This window comes from Homo sapiens, chromosome 8, assembly GCF_000001405.40.
Source record: "Homo sapiens chromosome 8, GRCh38.p14 Primary Assembly".
Classification (NCBI taxonomy): Eukaryota; Metazoa; Chordata; class Mammalia; order Primates; family Hominidae; genus Homo; species Homo sapiens.
Genome location: NC_000008.11, coordinates 18,220,357 through 18,241,192, shown reverse-complemented (window position 1 = coordinate 18,241,192; position 20,836 = coordinate 18,220,357). Strand labels below are relative to the sequence as shown.

General features: G+C 36.7%; 1 protein-coding gene across 15 annotated transcripts in view; it reads right to left on the bottom strand.

Annotated features, from left to right (window-relative positions):
• Positions 17,504-20,836, bottom strand: part of NAT1 (N-acetyltransferase 1) — a 53,223-nt gene continuing 49,890 nt past the window's right edge. For 14 of the 15 annotated variants that reach the window (XM_047422397.1, XM_047422398.1, XM_047422399.1 and 11 more), the window contains one exon: positions 17,504-19,151. In XM_047422397.1, the coding sequence (XP_047278353.1) occupies positions 18,273-19,151 (879 nt within the window). In that variant the 3' untranslated portion in view covers positions 17,504-18,272. Of the gene's footprint in view, positions 19,526-20,836 lie in introns of those variants that run through there. The other variant, NM_001160174.3, reaches the window with a different exon arrangement.

Sequence of the window (20,836 nt, the reverse complement as noted above, 5' to 3'; positions counted from 1 at the left end):
TCACACCATATACAAAAATGGATTAAAGACTTAAATATAAGACCTGAAACTGGCTGAGGTAACTCAAGCCTGTAATCCCACCATTTTGGGAGGCCGAGGCGGGTGGATCGCCTGAGGTCAGGAGTTTGAGACCAGCCTGGCCAACATGGTAAAACCCTGTCTCTACTAAAAAAGAAAATACAAAGTGGGTGCCTATAATCCCAGCTACTAGGGAGGCTGAGGCATGAGAATTGCTTGAACCGGGAGGCAGAGGTTGCAGTGAACCGAGATCGCACCACTGCACTCCTGCCTGGGCGACAGAGCAAGACTCTGTCTCAAAAAAAAAAAAAAGACCTGAAACTGTAAAACTAATGGAAGAAAATAGTGGGGAAAGCTCTACAATATTGGTCTGGGCAACAAGTTTTTAAAATAAACCTCAAAAGCACAGGCAACAAAAGCAAAAATACACAAATGAGATGGCATCAAACTAAAAATCTTCTGCACGGCAAAGGAAACAAAGTGAAGAGACAGCTTATAGAATGAGAGAAAATGTCTGTAAACCATACACTTGATACGGGATTAATATCCAAAATATTTGAGGTACTCAAAAAACTCAATAGCATGAAAACAAATAAGCCAATTTAAAAATGGGCTATAATCTCAGCTACTCCGGAGGCTGAGGCAGGAGAATCACTTGAACCTGGGAGGCAGAGGTTGCAATGAGCCGAGATCACACCACTGCACTCCAGCCTGGGTGACAGAGTGAGACTCCATCTCAAAAAAAAAAAAAAGAGCATATATGAATGTGTCTAAATCAACAAATAAAAAAATCTAACCCAATAAAAACAGTCAAAGAACTTGAGTCAGCATCTCACAAATGAAATAGCAGTGTTCATAAATATATGGAAAGATATTCCATCAGTTCAGTACTCATTAAAATGTAAATTCAAGTAAAATACTCACCATATTAATAACACCAGACTAATAGCCATACTTTTTACTTCTGTAAATTAATGTTTTAACATCCATCTAAAAGCCTATTCGCTACCTCTAAGCAAATTATGACTTATCCACACATATTTGGAGCCCTTAGATGGCTTTAAGCTGTATATGTCATAGTGAACATGAACTTCACAGGCAGACCACTTTCCAACATAGTCAATCTTAAATCTACTTGCCCTGCCTCATCCTACCCTTTCCAGAGAGATCACAATAAAGCTATGTGCTGTATTCTCTCCAGGAAAATACAAATGTAATAAAACCTTAAAATATTCCCCATGTCTCTCTTGATATGCATTGGGTCTTATCATACCTTACTCAAGAGAATATGACTACTACAAATGAAAAGGTGAAAAACATCTGAGAATTTGGAGCAGAGGGACCCTTGTACAGAGTTGGTGGAGAGTATGAATGTGAACAACTACTTTGGAAAATAATTTGACAATATCTAGTAATGCCAGAGAGGTGTACCCCTTTAACCCAGCAGTTCCAATTCTAAATGGAAAGTTGAAACATACCACAATGGTATTTTTCAATTTTTTAAACTTTTTATTTTATGGCTATGTTTTATACACATGCAATCATATGATGTGTCTTGTATCTATTTAAAATGTAATAAAACTGTCACTTCTGGAAATTACATTCTGAATATTAAGACCTCTTCCCTCACCTAACAGATTAAACCAGGAAAAATCAAGAAAATTGTATTTATGTTAGAAGAGCCCTATATTCTTTCAACTTTATTCGATGTTTTTTACCTATTCACTTTCGTAAAATCAGTCACTTTGGCCATTTTTTCCTATGAAAATGAAAGACTTGTACCACCTTAGACATTGTAATTTAGTGACAATGTGAGTCATTCTTGTTTTTAAACTGACAAGTAAAAAATGCATATATGGTATTTACGGTGTACAACATGTTTTGTTGTGTGTATGCATTGTGGAATGGCTAAATCAAGCTATTTAACATATACATTACCTTACATTCCAGACTTCTGTGGTGAGAGCACTTAAAATCTACTTTCTTAGCAATTTTCAAGTGTCGAATATATTATCATTAACTGGGGTCACTCTGATACACAATAAATCTCTTGAATTTATTCCTCCTGTGTAACTGAAATTCTGTGTTCTTTGACCAACATCTCCCCATTCCCTAAAGTCTCTGGTTATCACCATTCTACTCTTTGTTTCTGAGAGTTAAACCTTTCTAGGCTCCACATGTAAGTATCCATATATAAATAGCCACAGGCTGGGATTGACATGGCCATTAAATTATATCATATATATTTAGTTCTAAATAATCCTACTGGCAGCAATTCATACTCAAATTAGTGCCAGTGTGAGTAGGTGTGGCTAACTACTTTGTCAAACATTAAGATATGGTAGAGAATAGAACTGATGAGGTCACTGTGTTCATGGATATTAAACAAACTTTTACAAGTAATTAATGAAATGATTCAAGGAGGGCAAAGTGCCATGAAAAAGTACAGAGAGTAATAAGAAAGGCTTCTAACGCAGTGGGAGGAGGGTAGCAATCAGCTCAGGGATGATTTCCAGGCAGAAAGATCAGCCTTGTGAGGCTTTGGGGGCAGAGGAAAATGCTGCTGTAATTCAGGAAAACATTTCTATGCAAGCCATTAAAGACGTTTTTTATTTTTTTCTTTAGGCACCTCAATTTTTGAATTATCACTTACTTTTTATAAATCCCATATCTCTGACTTACATGGATTCTTCCCATATGCTTTAAAACAGGGGTCCACAACCCAACCCCTGGACCACTACTGGTCGTGGCCTGTTAGGAACCTATTACGTACGGGCTGCACAGTAGGAGGTGAACTTCAGGGGAGTGAGCATGACCCCTTGAGCTCTGCCTCCTGTCAGATCAGCACCAGCAATTCTCATAGGAGCATGAAACTTACTGTGAACTGCACGTGCAAGGGATCTAGTTTATGAGAATCTAATGCCTGATGATCTGAGGTGGAACAGTTTCATCCCAAAACCATCCCCCCACCTCCGCCCCACCTCCCCTAACCCCATCCATGGAAAAATTGTCTTCTGTGAAACTGGTCCCTACCGTAAAAAATGTTGGGGACTGCTGCTTTAAAATACTTCCTTGAAACAAATTAATACAATAACAAAACAAACATAACAAGTCAAGGTTATGATCATGTCAACAGATACAGAAAAAGCATTTGATAAAATTACCACCCATTCATGATTTTAAAAAAATCTCAGGAAACCTGGAATATAAAGGAATGTTCTCAACATGATAAAAGGCATCTATGAAAAATCTGTTGCTGACATCACACGCAATGGTGAAAGCCTGAGTTCTTTTCCCCTAACATCAGAAACGAGGGAAGGGTGTCCACTTTGACCACTTATATGCAGCCTTGCAGTGGAGTGTCTAGACAGTGCAATGGGGTAAGGAAAAGAAATAAGAGACATACATACTGGAAAGGAAAAAATAACTGTTCACAGACAAATTAGTCATCTTTATAAAAAATTCTGAAGAATATGCAATCTAATAAGTGCATTTATGAAGGTCACAAGATACAAGGTCAATATAAAAAATTAATTTTATTTCTATACACTAGCAACAAACAATTGGACATTGAAACTATAGATAATACAACTTAAAGCATTCGAAGATTAACAAAATATATTAAAGCATACAGTAAAAACTACAAACCATTGCTAGGAGGAAAGAAGAATTAAAGATATGGTGAGATACACTGTGTTCAAAGATTGGAATACTCAACATTGTTAAGATATCATTTTCTTCAAATTTACCTCTAGATTCAGTACAATCTCAAAACCTAGTGGACTATTTTTGTAGAAAATTGGAAATGTGTTCTAAAACTTATGCGAAAATGCAGAGAATCTAGAATAACCAAAATAATTTAGAAAAATAGCAAATTTAGAAGTTTCACATTACCATGTTTCAAGTGTTCCTGTAAACCTACAGGAATCAATACAGTGTAGTGTTGGCATATGTATAGACACATAGATCAATGAAACTAATAGGAACAAATATGCCCACAAATATGCCCACAATTTTCTTTGTAAAATGTCAGTGTAATTCAACAGAGAACAGACATCCTTCTCAACAAAGGGTGCTGGAAAAATTATCCGGCCAGGTGCAGTGGCTCATGCCTGTAATCCTAGCACTTTGGGAGGCTGAGGCGGGCAGATCACTTGAGGTCAGGAGTTCGAAACCAGCCTGGCCAACATGGTGAGACCCCATCTCTACTAAAAATACAAAAAAATTATCTGGGCATAGTGGCAGACACCTATAATCCCAGCTACTTGGGAGGCTGAGGCAGGAGAATCGCTTGAACCTGAGAGGCAGAGGTTGCAGTGAGCCAAGATCACACTACTGCGCTCCAGCCTGGGCAACAGAGTGAGACTCCATCTCAAAAACAAATAAATAAATATAAATAAATAAGTAGCCCATCAACCAAACAACCTTTTTTCTTATATTCTATCCTCAAACTATATACAAAAATTGAGTCAAAACATTGCATAGACCTAAGTATAAGAGCCAACCCATAAACTTCTAGAAGAAAGCGATAGAATAAATTGGATAGATGTATGAATATGTGGATAGATATAAAATAAGATTCAAAAACTGCAAGCCATAAACAAATTGATAGACTATATCAAATATTTTAGTGAAAGTATCTGTTGAACATTAGAGTGTGAGAGAAAGTGAATATACAAACAGAAAATGTCCAGATCATATATAAAAATAGAATTTTGACTCATAACCTACACTAACCTGGCCCGGTAACCAACTACTATTGACAATTAAAATAAGGAACCAACCCAAATGCCCATCAAGAATAGACTGAATAAAGAAAATGTGCTACATATACACCACGGAATATTATGCAGCCATAAAAAGGAATGAGATCATGTCCTTTGCAGGGACATGGATGAAGCTGGAAGCCATCATCCTCAGCAAACTAACACAGGAACGGAAAATCAAATACTGCATGTTCTCAGTCACACTTGGGAGTTGAACAACGAGAACACATGGACACAGGGAGGGGAACATCACACACCAGAGCCTCTCAAGGGCTACGGGGTGAGGGGAGGGAGAGCAGGACAAATGACTAACGCGTGCGGGGCTTAAAACCTAGATGACAGGTAGATAGGAGCGGCAAACCACCATGGCACACATATATCCATGTAACAAAACTGCACGTTCTGTACATGTAACCCAGAACTTAAAAATTAAAAAAAAAAATACAAAGAAGCTAATTTTACAAGTTGGAAAGAAAACAAAACCAGAAGCCAGGCTGCTGTAAGTCAGGCTTACAGAAGACCAAATTGCTATCTCTAGTGACAATCCAGGATGCCAAACTAATAACTAATAATATATTCTGTAACATTTGGCCCAGAATGGCCAGGACTAGATTCATAACTGACAGCCTCCCTAATTTTTGTCCCCACTTCCAGCTTTGGACAAATCAGAGAAAGCCAAACATAATAAATTGCACAGGATGCCCCATTTCTACTTAGCCCACCTGCAGCTTTCCCACACCAACGGGCTTCATACAAGACATACTGGTGCCTTCCCTCTTCCCACTGTAAAGCTTTCCCACTCCTCTGCCTGCCTTTGGCCTCTGACAAAATGCAAGTGACGGTGGCTGACTCCCTTCCAAGCTTGGAATAAAGAGCCTCTGCCCGTTCCAGTTTTGGCGATCTTTCTTTATTTCCACATATATTATTTCCATTTTACAGGGGAAAAAACGCCCAGAAATTGTAAAAATCACCCATGTTTCTGGGAAAGCCTAGGTGTTTTCATCTCTTTGCTTTGTACCTGGTATATATTTGTCTAGAAGTGAAACTCTTAGTACAAAGAGATTCTCTATAAATTTTGTTTGAACGGCTGATCCTAGAACACATAACAGGTGTGCTGTTCTTTTTTCATTACATTGTAGGTCTATTTAATTTTGTATTAGGTTGTTGCCGAAGTTAATCGCAGTTTTGCCAGTTACTTTGACACCAACCGAATATATTAATCAGGTTCTTGCAAAAGCCATTACTCCATGTCTTAGTTTCCTTGTTTCAAGCTCATGTCTGTTTGCTTCAAATTATGTTTCTTCTTGTTCGTTCATTTTTGCTTCTACCTCAGTAAAAGCCACAGCAATATCTCTTTGCTACCTGCATCACTTGGGAAATGTGTTTACCTGTCTAGCTGTAACAAATTAAGAACAAATCGCCTCTGCTTTTGTCATTTGGTTGGTCTTTGTTTAGTTCTACAGGTGTAAGGTAGTGTAGCCTTGGTTCCTCTCTATCCGAGTATAATGACAGAAAAGATGGAAAACATATTCTTCTCACAAAATACCATGAAGCTTTGGCCTCAAAAATTTCCATTGCATCAACAAAATCAGAAGAGTTAGTGGCAACAAGGTGTTTAGATAAATGCATGATTACCTGGGACTGTAGGATTGCTGAGGAATGAAGTGGTAACCAGTGGCAGCACTGCTGAAGAGCAGGGAAAATTCTTGGTAACATTATTAGATACCCCTAGGGATTTCCATAAATACTTGTTAGAGTTCTTTCCAGGCATAGGAATATTAGAGGGTAGAGATAAGAGCTGAGAAATGTTCAGTGTTGTTAAAGTGACCACATTTTCAACTTGGAGACATTTGGGTTCTGATTGTAAAATAAATGTTTGTAAATGGAATTTTCCCTATTAAGCAATAAATACATTCAGAATTGTTTTATTTGATTTTTATATTGTTCTCTCTTTCCCTTTTCCTACAGTAGGCACCTTTCCTCCTATTTCTTCCAATAACCCCATTCCCCATTATCTCTTGGAATGGTGGAACCTGGTAGTTAATTTTTTTAAGTGAACCTCTTGTTCAAGCATAACATACACAAAAGTACTCCAGTCACAGGTATAAAGTTTGATACATTTTAAGAAAATGAGCATGTCATCAGAACTCTGATATCAAGAGAGTACATCACCAACACCCCAGAAACTTTTTCTGTGCCTCTTTCCAGTCAGTAGCCACCATCCTCAGTATAATCATGATTTGTATGGTTTTCACCTATCTGTAAATGGAATTGAGTGATACGTACAGTTTGGTGTCTAGCTTCTTTTTCACAACTTTGTGTTGTGCACAATTGTAATTTGTTCATTCTCTTTGCTATATAATATTCTGTTGAACAAATATGCCACATTTTAATTATCCCCTTGCTGTTAATGTGCATGTGGATTGTTTCCAGTTTGGATCAATTATAAACAGTGCTGCTATGAATATTCTTTTGGGGTTTTTTCTGAGATGGAGTTTCGCTCTTGCTGCCCTGGCTAGAGTGCAATGGCACTATCTCGACTTACCACAACCTCCACCTCCCGAGTTCAAGCAATTCTCCTGCCTCAGCCTCCCAAGTGGCTGGGATTACAGGCATGCACCACCACGCCCCAATAATTTTGTATTTTTAGTAGAAACAGGGTTTCTCCATGTTGGTCAGGTTGGTCTCGAACTCCCGACCTCAGGTGATCCACCCGCCACAGCCTCCCAAAGTGCTTGGATTACAGGTGCGAGCCACCGCGTCAGGCCGAATATTCTTGTATGTGTCTATTGGTTGACACATGCCATGTATCCAAGAGTAGAAATGCTGTGGCATAGAGTGGGAGACAGATATTCAGCTTAGTAGATCCTACCAAGATGTTTTCCAAAGTGATTATACAGTTTTCACCAGCAGTGTATGAAGGTTGCATGGCTCCCCTTTCCCACTAATTCTTTTATTTAAATTTTACTTTTAAATTTATTGAAAATACTTAAGGTATACAACATGTTTTGATAAACATAAACATAGTGAAATGATTCCTATGTTTATGATTACTAGTTCTTTAAACCTCTCTTAGGAAATTTTCAGTGTACAATACAACATTAACTATAATTATTGGTTTTAAATTTTTGTTTATTTTTTCGAGACAAGGTCTCACTCTGTCACCCAGGCAGGAGTGCAGTGACACCATCACAGCTCACTGCAGCCTCAAATTCATGGGCTCAGCCTTTTGAGCAGCTAGGACCACAGGTGAACACCACTACACCCAACTAATTTTTTTAAAGTTTTTATTTTAGAGATGGAGTCTTACTCTGTTGTCCAGGCTGGTCTTGAACTCCTGACCTCAAGTGATTCTCTTGCCTCAGCCTCCCAAAGGGCTGGGATTACATGTGTGAGCCACCGTACCTGGCTGTAATTATCATACTATACATTAGATCTCATCCAATAATAACTGTAGGATTGTACCCTTTGACCTACATGTTGCTATTTTTCTCCCCTCCCTTCCCTTGTTAAACGAAATTTTACCTGTTCCTGTGTATTTGAATATTTTTTAGATTGTGCTTATGAAATCATGTGGTATTTTTCTGTGTCTAGCTTATTTAAATTTAGCATAATGACCTCAAGTTTCATCTATGTGGTTGCAAATGGCAGTATCTGCTTCTTTTTTAAGGCTGACTAATATTCCATTGTATGTGTATATATATGTATATATACACATATATATACATATATATACACATATATACACATATATATACATATATGTATATATGTGTATATATATATATATATATATATATACACCACAATTCCTTTGTCCATTAATCTGTCATTTGATAGGGCTATTGTGAATAATGCTACAATAAACACAAGAGCACAGATATTAGTACAAGGGGCTAAATTCATTTCCTGTGGGTATATAACCAACAGACAGATTGTTGAATCATATGATAGTTCTATTTCTATTTCTTTGACAAACCTCCATACTGTTTCCTATAATGGCTGAAGTAATTTACATTCCTGCCAACATTGTATAAACGTTCCCTTTTCTCTACATCATGAAGAACACTTGTTCTCTCTTGCCTTTTTGAAAATAGTCATTCTAACAGGTGTGAGTGGTTAGCTCACTGTGGTTTTAATTTATATTTCCCTGATGACTAATGATGTGGAGCATTTGTTCATAAGGTTATTAGGCATTTGTGTGTGTTCTTTGGGAAAATGTCCATTCAGGTCATTTTATAATCTTTTTTTTTTTTTTTTGCTATTGAATTGTATGAATTGCTCTTTTACTTTGGATATTAACCCCTTATCAAATGAATGGTTTGCAAATATTCTCTTCCAGTCTACACATTGCCTTTCCATTTTGTTGATTGTTTTCTTTGCTGTGCAGGTGCTTTTTAGTTTGATGTAATTCCATTTATTTATTCTCACTTTTGTTTCCTGAGTTTTTGGAGTGATATCCAAAAAATCATTACTAGGCCAACATCAAGGAGGTTTTCTCTTATGTTTTCTTCTAGAAGTTTTACAATTTCTGGTTTTATGCATGATCTTTTATCCACTGAGAGCTGACTTTGGTGTATCTATGTGAGATAAGCATTCACTTTCATTATTTTGCCTGTGGATATCCAATTTATCTAACAATATTTGTTTAAGTAGCTATGCTTTCCTCATTGTATCTTCTTAGATGCAAGTCAAAAATTAGCTGACCATATATGTTTGGGTTTATTTCTGAGCTCTCTATTCTGTTCCGTTACTGTATGAGTCTGTTTTTATTCCAATACCATACAGTTTTGATTAGTATAATTTTGTAATATAATTTGAAATCTGGAAGTGTGATGCCTACAACTTTGTTCTACTTTCTCAAGATTACTTTGGCTATTTGGGGCATTTTGTGGTTTCAAGTGAATTTTTGAATTTTTAAAAATTTATGTGAAGAATAGAATTAGAATTTTGATAAGGATTGAATTAATATATGCTTTGCCATAGTATGCCTATTTAAAAAATATTAATTCCTCTCCACAAACATGGGACCTATTTCCATTTATTTGTGTCTTCTGTAATTTCATATATCAATGTTTTATACTTTTCAGTGTATATTTCTTTTTTTAGTTAAATTTCTTTATTATTTTATTCTTTTCTGTTGATATGTAACAACTGTACATATGTATAGGGTACATGTGACATTTTGTTACATGCATAGAATGTGTATTAATCAAGTCAGTATAATCTGCACATCCATCCCCTCAAACATTTAGCACTTCTTTGTATTGAGAACATTCTACATCTCGTCTAGCTATTTTGAAATACACAATAAATTATTGTTTACTATAGTCACGCTACTGTGCTATAGAACACTAAAAATTATTTCATCTGTCTAACTGTATTTTTGTACCCATTAGCCACCTTCTCTACATCCCCACCTCCTCCATGCCCTTCCCAGCCCTGGTAAACCACCATTCCACTCTCTACCTCCATGAAGTCCCCTTTTTTGTAACCACATTTGAGAACATGTAATATTTGTCTTTCTGCGCCTGGCTTATTTTACTCAACATGATGTCCTCCTGTTCTATCCATGCTGCTCCAAACAAGAGGATTTCGTTTTTTTCTCATGGTTGTGTAATACTCCATTGTGCATATATACCACCTTTTATTTATCCATTCATCCGTGGATGGACACTTATGTTGAAGCAATATCTTGGCTATTGTGAACAGTGCTGCAGTAAACATGAGAGTACACATACCGCTTCAGTAACTAATTTCGTTTCTTCTAGATATATACCCAGAAGTAGGATTACTGGAGCATGTGGTAGTCCTATTCTTGGTTTTTGAAGGAACCTCCATACTATTTTCCATAGTGGATCTACTAATCTACATTCCCACCACAGTGTATTAGCATTTCCCTTTCTCCACATCCTTAACAGCATTTGTTATTTTTTGTTTTTTTATTTTTCATAATAGTCATTTTAACTGGTGTGAGATAACTCATTGTGGTTTTGATTTGCATTTCCTTGATGATTAGCAATGTTCAGCATTCTTCTTTTGTTCCTTTCTGTTTTTGTTTTTTTTTCTTTTCCTTTTTCTTTTTTCTTTTTAGTAGAGTTTCACTCTGTTACCCAGGCTGGAGTGCAGTGACATGATCATAGCTCATTGCAACCTCAAACTCCTAGGCTCCTCAGCATCCTGAGTAGTTGGGACTACAGGCATGTGCCAAGATGCCTAGCTAATTCTTTAATTTTTTTTTTTTTTTTTTTTTTAGTAGAGATGCAGATCTTGCTAGTTTGCCCAGGCCAGTCTTGAACTCCTGGCCTCAAGTGATCCTCTCACCTTGGCCTTCAAAAGCACTGGGATTGCAGGAGTGAGCCACCATGTTTGGTCAAGCATTTTTTTTACATACCTGTAGGCCATTCATATGTCTTCTTTCGAGAAATGTCTGTTCAGATCATTTGCTCATTTTTAAAATAAGATCATTTGTAGGTTTTTTGCTATTGAGTTGTTTGAGCTCGTTATATATTTTGGCTATTAATCTCTTGTCAAATGTATAGTTTGCAAATATTTTCCCCTATCCTGTGGGTTGTCTCTTCAGTTTGCTGATTGTTTCCTTGATTTGCAGAAGCCATTTAGTGTGATATAATCCCATTTGTTATTTTTGCTTTGGTTGCCTGTATTTTTGAATTTACCCAAAAAAATCTTTGTACAGACCAGTGTACTAAAGCATTTCTCCTATAGTTTCTTCTAGTAGCTTCATAGTGTCAGTTCTTACACTTAAGTCTTTAATCCATTTTGATTTAATTTTGTAATTAAAATTAAATCAAAAAATTAAATTACTCTGGGTTCTTTTCTCAGCATAAAAATGTAGAGATTTTCCCAGCACCATTTATTGAAGAGACTGTTCTTTCCCCAATGTATGTTCTTAATACCTTTGTCAAAAATAAATTGGCTGTAAATGCCTAGGGTTATTTCTGGATTCTGTATTCTATTCCATTGGTCTATGTGTCTGTTTTAATGCCAGTACCATGCTATTATGGTTATTAAAGCTTTATAATACATTTTGAAGTGAGATAGTGTGATGCCTCTAGCTTTGTTCTTTTTGCTCAAAATTGCTTTGGCTGTTCAGGGTCTTTAATAGGTCTCTACAAATTTTAGAATCTATTTCTATTTCTGTGAAGAATGTCATTAGAATTTTGATAGGGATTGCATCTAACCTGCAGCTCACTTTGGATAATACATACATTTTAACAACATTAATTTTTCTAATCAATGAGCATGGAATATCTTTTTATTTCCTGTGTCCTCTTCAATGTATTTCATCAATATTTTATAGTTTTCAATGAGAGATGTTTCATTTTAAGTTAAATTTGTGGCTAGGTTTTTGTTTTTGTGTAATTATTATAAATGGAATAGCTTCCTTGATTTCTTTTTCAGGTTGTTCGCTATTTGCATCTAGAAATGCTAATAATTTTTGTATGTTTATTTTGTATCCTGCAACTTTAGTGAATTCATTTATCAGTTCAAACCATTTTTTCGTAGAGTGTTTGGCTTTTTCTAAATATAAGATCACGTCATTTGCAAAGAAGAATAATTTGAATTCTTTCCAGTTTGGATGCTCTTTATTTCTTTCTCTTGTCTAATTGCTCTGACTGAAACTTCCAGTATTACATTGAATAAAAGTGCTGAAAATGGGCATTCTTGTCTTTTCTAATTGTGGAGGAAAAGCTTTCAATTTTTCCCTGTTCAGTATGATGTTAGCTGTGTATTTGTCATATATATATTTTCTATTGTTTTAAGCTTTGTTCCTTCCATAACCAATTTGCTGAGAGTTTTTATCACTAAGGGATGTTGAATTTTATGCAATGCTTTCCCAGCATCTATTGAAATAATCATATGATTTCTCTTGATTCTGTTAATGTGATGTATCACATTTATTGATTTGCATATATTAACCCATCTTTGCATCTCTAGGAGGAATCCCACTTGATTATGGTGATGATGTTTTACATGTGTTGTTGAATTCAGTTTGCTAGTATCTTGTAGAAAATCTTTTTCGTCTGTGTTCATCAGGAATATTGGCCTGTAGTTTTCTTTTTTCTCTGTGTCCTTTTCTGATTTTGGTTTCAGGGTAATACTGGCCTCATAGAATTAATTTAGATTTCCTTCTCTTCATTTTTTTCTGAAGAGTTAGAGTAAAACTGGTATTAGTTCTTCTTTAAATGTTTGGTAGATTTAGCGTGAAGCCATTAAGTCCTGGGCTTTTCTTTGATGTGGAATTTTTTTATTACGCTTGATCTCATAACTCATTATTAATCTGTTGAGGTCTTCTATTGCTTCATGGTTCAATTTGATAGGTTGTAAGTGTCCAGAAATGTATCCATCTCTTCCAGGTTTTGAAATTTGTTGGCATATACTTGTTCATAATACTTTACAATAATGCATTGTATTTCTGTCGCATCAATTGTAATTTTTTTAATCCATATGAAGGTTTGTTGATTTTATCTTTTCAAAAATCCAACTTTTCATTTAGTTGACCTTTGTACTGTTTTTTTAGTCTCTATTTAATTTTTCTACTCTGGTATTTATTATTCCTTTCCTTCTACTATTTTGGGTTTAGTTTATTCTTGCTTTCCTAGTTTCTTAAAGTACATTATTAGGCTGTTTATAGAAAACCTTTCTACCTTTTTGATAGGCATGTATTACTATAAACTTTGTCTTACTACTGCTTTTGCTGTATCCCACAAGTTTTGATATGATGTGCTTCCATTTTCATTTGATTCACAAAATGTTTAATTTTCATTCTTAATTTATTCATTGACCTATTGGATGTTTAGGAGCATGCTGTTTAATTTTTATGTATTCGTACGCTTTCCGAAATCCCTCTTGTTATTGATTCCCAGTTTTATTTCATGGTGGTTAGAAAAGATACTTGATATGAATTTGACTTCAAAAATTTGTTGACATCATTGTGTGGCCTAACATACAGTATATCCTGGACAGTGTTCCATGTACTAATGAGAAGATTGTGTATTTTGTAGCAATTGGATAAAGTGTTTTAGAAATGTCAGTTATGTCCTTTTGGTCTAGAATGCAGTTTAACTCCATTGTTTCTTTGTTGATTTTCTGTCTGGATGACTTGTCCATTGTAGAAAGTGGGTTGTTAAAGTTCCCTAATATTGTTTATTGCTGTATACTTCTCCCTTTAGATTTATTTATGTTTATATACTTGGGTACTCCAGTGTTGGGTGCATATATATTATTGTTATATCATCTTGCCATCTTGCTGAATTGATCCCTTTATCATTATGTAATAACCTTTTTTGCCTCATTGCACAATTTTGACTAGAAGTCTCTTTTATCTGATATAAATATAGCTATTCCTGCTCATTTTTGGTTTCCATGGCATGTCTTTTTCCATCTCTTTACTTTCACTTTACATGTGCCTTTATAGGTTACATGAGTTTCTTGTAGACAGCATATAATTGAGTATTTTTAAAAAATCTATTCAACTATTCTACATCTTTTAACTTTTTCCATTTACATGCAATGTTATTATTGCTAGATAAAGACACACTAGTGCCATTTTGTTACTTGTTTTTTGGCTGTTTTAATTATTTGCTTACTTATTTTTTGAAACAGAGTCTCACTCTGTTGCCCAGGCTAGAGTGCAGTGGCACAATCTCAGCTCACTGCAACCTCTGCCTCCCAGGTGATTCTCGTGCCTAAGCCTCCCAAGTAGCTGGGATTACAGGAATGCTCCACCATGCCTGGCTAATTTTTGTATTTTAGTAGAGATAGGGTTTCGCCATGGTGCCCAGACTGGTCTTGAACTCCTGGGCTCAAGTGATCTGCCCACCTTGGCCTCCCAAAGTGCCGTGATTGCAAGCATGAGCCACCACGCCTAGATTTTTGTTTGTTTTTATTTTTTATTTTTTTTTTTGGACAAGGTCTCTGTCTGTCAACAAGTTTGGAATGCATTGGTGTGATCATAGCTAACTGAATCCTTTAACTCCTGGGCTCAAGTGATCCTCCTGCCTCAGCCTCCTGAGTATCTGGGACTGTCGGTACATGCCATCATGCCCAGGTTTGGTTGTTTTTAATTCTGTTCTTCTTCCTTCCCATCTTCCTTTGTGGTTAACTGATTTTCTCTGGGAGTATGTTTTAATTACTCTTTTTTTATTTTTAGTATATCTATGACAAACTTTCATTTTGTGGTTACTATGAGGCTTACAAAAAAATCTTAGAGCTATAACAAGTTACTTTAAACTGATGGAAACTTAACATTCAGCACAAAGAAAGGAAGCCAATAAAAAAAAGTTTAAAACTCTGCACTTTTACTCCATGCCTCCCATATTTTGACTTTTTGTTGCCACAATTTACATCATTTTATATTGCCCATCTCCTGACAAATTGTTGTCATTTTTGGTAGCTTTATCTTTTAGTCTTCATACTAAAGATATTGTGGTTTACACACCACAATTACAGTCTTAGAGTATTATAAATTTGTCTGTGTACTTACTCTTACCAGTGAGTTTTATACGTTCACATATTTTCTTGTTGCATGTTAGCGTCCTTTCCTTTCAGATGAGGAAATCCCTTTAGCGTTTCTTGTAAGACAAGTCTGGTGGTGATGGCTTTAGCTTTTGTTTGTCTTGGGGTTTTATCTCCTCTTCATGTTTGAAGAATAGATTTGCTAAGTATAGTATTTTCAATTGGCAGTTATTTTCCTTATGCCCCAACTTTTACAGCTTCCCCATGAAGGACAGCATCGTAAGCCTCCGGGCTCTAACAGTAGAGGAGACTAGGCATACGTGTTTCTCTCGGTCACAGAACAAAGATGTGCGTTTCCAAAGAGTACACTCTCTGGGTGTAGTGCAGAAAAAAAGGCTGGAATGCACAACCCCCATTTTTTTCTCCAGAAGCGGTTTATTGCACTTTTTTTTTTTTTTTTTTTTTTGACAGAGTCTTACTCTTGCTGCTTAGGCTGGAGTGCAATGGTGCGATCTTGGCTCATAGCAACCTCCCCATCCTGGGTTCAAGCAATTTTCTTGCCTTAGCCTCCTAAGTAGCTGGGATTACAGGCACCCACCACCACACCTGGCTACTTTTTGTATTTTTAGTAGAGACGGGGTTTCACCATGTTGACCAGGCTGGTCCCGAACTTCTGACCTCAGGTGATCCACCCGCCTTGGCCTCCGAAAGTGCTGGGATTACAGGCGTGAGTCACCATACCCAGCCTATTGCACATTTTTTTAAGTGGCTACTTGGCAGCTTCCGTTGAACTTGCATTGGTGAGGTAATGGGGTAGACAAACAGTAACCCTCCAAAAGCCTGAGCTGAAGGATGTCACCTCCTGAGCCTTTCCTCTAGCTCACTCCAGTGATTATTCCAAGTCTACCCATATTTTTTGGAGGTAGTTGGTCCACACACCAACAGCCACAACTTGTATAGTTCTCATAGAAAGGACTGTCTCTTTAATGACCTCTCATAAAAGGGACTGTCTCTTTAGTTCTGGGAGTCAATGGGGCTATGCATTTCTGAGTGGCCTTAGACACTGGAAACAAACAGGCAAATACACAATTGGGCCAACTTCTAGCAGCTATCTCCCCCAGAGTACAACCTAAACACCAGTACAGGCATTTGTCACAGATTCTCTCCTTGGCTTAGTGCAGAGAGAATGGGAGATAAAGGTTCACGCTCAGCTTCACCGTAATGATTGAAGAAACTGAAATACACATCCAACACCCCCACTTTTCCAGCTACATATAAAATGTTTGGATTCTACCTTACTTGTCTTGGGGTCTTGACAGGACATGGCACATTCTGATCTCCAAGGGGCCACCAAAAACAGAGACAACAGTTTGGACAAACACAAGTAAGTAGGGGGCTTCTTAAGATCTCTGACCAAATGAATTGGCGAGATTATTCTCCTTCACTCATTTAGATTTCATCTGAGAAAAGTTAACATTGCATAGTTAGGGCAGAAGTCATCAATCTGGATGCTAAATATTATATACGTCTCCTTCAACATATTCCAGTTTTTTTCCCCTATGTGATATATTTTTCTAAAAAATCAATTGCACTGGGTTCCAGGATACTCCTGTGCAATAAGACTTCCTTGATTCATTTGCACAAAATTGTGCCATTCTCCTTGAGACACATTTTGATCTGGTCAGTGTTTCTTGTCAACATCTACTCCACAGGCATGGTCCTGGTCAGAAAGTGAAAAACGTATTTCTTCCCAAGAGTACAAGAAATGACCTGGCATTGCTGCCAGATAGCAGCAGAGCTGGAAAAGGCCAGTACAGTAAGGAAGACAGCAAGCCATCAAATACTGAAATATATCTTTCATCCTTCCTTCCCACTGAGGCCATGTCTCATTTCTACCTCTTCCTAAGATATCCCCCCACACCAGCATCTCCCAACTGTTAAATTGCTGCATAAAATACCGATGTTACAATGTATCTTGTTCTCTTAACTAAAATTTCTTCATTCTAGTCCCTGCCTTTCTCTTAACCTTATTACAATGATCACACGTCGAAGAGGGAGAATAGTGTAAGATCAAGTCTGCAAGTTAAACTATAGTCCTGATACTGGAATCCACAAACAGAAAATCTGAATTATAGATAAGCAAAGATTCAGATTCTGAAGCACAGAGCACACTCTTAGATCTTGGGCATCTAATATCCTATCAATATTTAATCAAGAAAGAAGCAGGCAGATGACAGGGGTGGGGGGGCAAGCAAGATGGAACAATAACTTTTATTAAATAATGACTTTGTACCAAAAACATTACTGACGTTATTACTTGATCCATATAACAAATAATTTTGGGAGTTTAGTTCCGCCACTAAACTGTAAAAGCATTATTCCCATTTTATGCCTGAGGAGTCAGAGCTACAGATCTAAAAAGTAATTCGCCCAGTGTCCACAGGATTTCAACTCAGATCTACACAAGAAAAGCTCATGTTCATTCTTGTATGGCAAAGTGTGCAAGGAAGTAAAGTAATTTAAGAGACAAGAAAGATGAGAGGAAGAGAGCATCGAGGAAAAATTATGTAGCACCATAATATCCTAAGTCTTCCAAAAAACCACTTTTTTTCAAATTATATTAGCCAACAATGTTTTAATATACTTTATAGACAATAAGTTTTTTTACAATATTTTATTTACTCATCTACCAATAAAACTTTTCTAGGAATTCAACAATAAACCAACATTAAAAGCTTTCTAGCATAAATCACCAATTTCCAAGATAACCACAGGCCATCTTTAAAATACATTTTTTATTATTATTATTATTATTATTTGAAAAGGTTTGTGGTTATGTTTCTTTAAAAAGCTGTTTAATTATATATGATGACATTTTTATAGGTGAAATGATTTGATGTCTAGGATTTTCTTCAAAATAAGGTAAGGGTACAGAAGATACATGATAGGTCGTCAGTTGATAACTGGTGAGCTGGATGACAAATAGACAAGATTGTTTTACTCCTTATTCTAAATAGTAAAAAATCTATCACCATGTTTGGGCACAAGCTTTCTCTGCAAGGAAATATTAAATATATTTTTCAGCACTTTTTCTATTTCTTCCTCACTCAGAGTCTTGAACTCTATTAGATCTGTATTGTCCTTATAATTGAATCTCCTATGGGTGAGGGTGAAGCCCACCAAACAGTGAACCCCATCTGGGGTCTGCAAGGAACAAAATGATTTACTAGTAAACACAGATGATGGAGATGTCTGCAGGTATGTATTCATAGACTCAAAATCTTCAATTGTTCGAGGCTTAAGAGTAAAGGAGTAGATTTTTCGGTATTTGCTGTCTTCTAGGAGATCAGAATGAAGAAATTCTTCATTTGGAATGTACTGTTCCCTTCTGATTTGGTCTAGATACCAGAATCCATTCTCTTCCGTCAAACGGAAGACACAAGGCACCTGAGGCTGATCCTTCCCAGAAATTAACTCCAGAGGCTGCCACATCTGGTATGAGCGTCCAAACCCAGCATCGACAATGTAGTTCCTGCCATCAATGGTCACCTGCAGGAGAAGGTGAATCATGCCAGTGCTGTATTTTTTGGCTGGAGTGCTGTAAACATACCCTCCCAACATCGTGGTCTCAAAACCAATAGTGGTCAGAGCCCAGTACAGAAGATGATTGACCTGGAGACACCATCCACCCCGATTTCTTCTCACAACTTGATCAAAAATGGCCTCTAAGCCTAAGTCCATGGCATCCCCACAATGGATGTTAAGGTTCTCAAAGGGAACAGCTCGGATCTGGTGTTGAAGAATGTCAGTTAATGTTTCCAAGTCCAATTTGTTCCTAGACTTCTTATAGCCAATTCTTTCAAGATATGCTTCAATGTCCATGATCCCCTAAGCAAGGAAAACAAAACGAAAGCAAATCATTTTACTTTTACACTTGGATTTGAGTAGGCTAATTATGGCTATATTTTAAACATGTAAAAATACAATGGTTATAAGTATAATAATTATTTCTAGTGCTTTCATTGTATGAATTCCTTTTACACACATAAGTTCAGTTAATAGTCCCAGAATCCTGTGAGAAATGTATTATGTCTTCTTTCAAGTGTGAGAAGCTGGAAATCAAGATTAAATGATGAGTCAAATGATAAACAGCTTGTTCATGGTTCTCTTGGTGATTAATAAAAGAGAGATTCCAACTGGTATCCTTTAAAATAGGCTTATAAACGTCTTCTGATGTAGGCAGGAGAATCATGCAATAGAGTGTATAGTATCCGTGGTACCTGACCCACTCAATTTCCCTTTTAGCTGAGCCTTATACAAAGTTTCCCGCTCAAAGAACTGTATTGATTCACTCATCCATTGATTGATTAACTCAAGAAATAGTTCACTGAATAGCTATAATGTGTTTCCTACTGTTCTAGTGCTTGCTTACTCTCAAAAATCTTATATTTTAGTGGGAGTTGGAGTGACATATATAGGAAATTGAATACATGGATAAAACATGCAATCTGTTAGATTGTAGTAAGTGCCCTGGGAAAACTAAAGTAAAGAAAGGACCCAGTAAGTACAGAGGGAGAGCTCCAATTTTAAATTAGTTGGTTTAAAAAAAAAAAAAAACACACCAAAAAAAAAACACTCGCTAAGATTTGAAGGATGCCAGAGAATAAGGCCTAAGGATATGCGTGAGGAGGATTGTTCCAAGTAGGAAAACAGAAAATAACAAGGCCTTAAGCTGGAAACTGCCTTGAGCGTTCAAAAAACATTCAGGAAGCAAGGGTAATTGGAGCACATGAGTAAGAAGGAGAGTGGACTGAGATGAGATCTGACAGGCAACTGCAGCCTTGGAGCTAAGACTGGCATTTTGGTTTTTACTGTAAGTGAAATGAGAAATGTAAATGAGAGAGGCCTGAGAGAAGGGTTGTAATTGAGCAATGTTTGCCACAATCAAAGTGATGTTTCTGGATACTGTGTAGAGAACAGGCTGCCCATATTGCGCCTTATGGATAGTCACATGGACTAGGTGGGACCAATTTGAACACATATGCTCTAGGACCAGTGCTTGGCTCATGGATAACATATGATCTAAGTAGATCTGAGACTTTACTGAGGAACTTTTGCTGAAACCTAAGCGTGTACATTCTGCTACAAGGTAGAAGCTGGTGGGGTATTCATTCAAAGCTATTGGTGAGTAGAAGCTGGTGGGGTATTCATTCAAAGCTATTGGTGAGAACCTACTGAAGAACAACACTAACAAAGAGTTCACCAAGTTTACCAAGAGATGAAAAACAACAGAAGGTAGAATGAGGAAAGACCTGAATGAAGCCGAAAGCTATCTTTTAACTTTCAGGTAATGTGAACCAAAAAAAAATAAATGCCCCTTATTTTGTTAAATATTTTAGAAAAGGTTTTTTAAACCTGCCATCATAGAGCCTTAACCTTTTGAGACTATGATTGTAACAGTGCTGTACAGACCTCAGGTATAACTCTTTTGTATGTGGTATGGCCTGAGGATGACCTTGTACAAAGGGACCTGCCCCGAGATGAATGGTGATAAGTGGAGCATCTCTTATTTT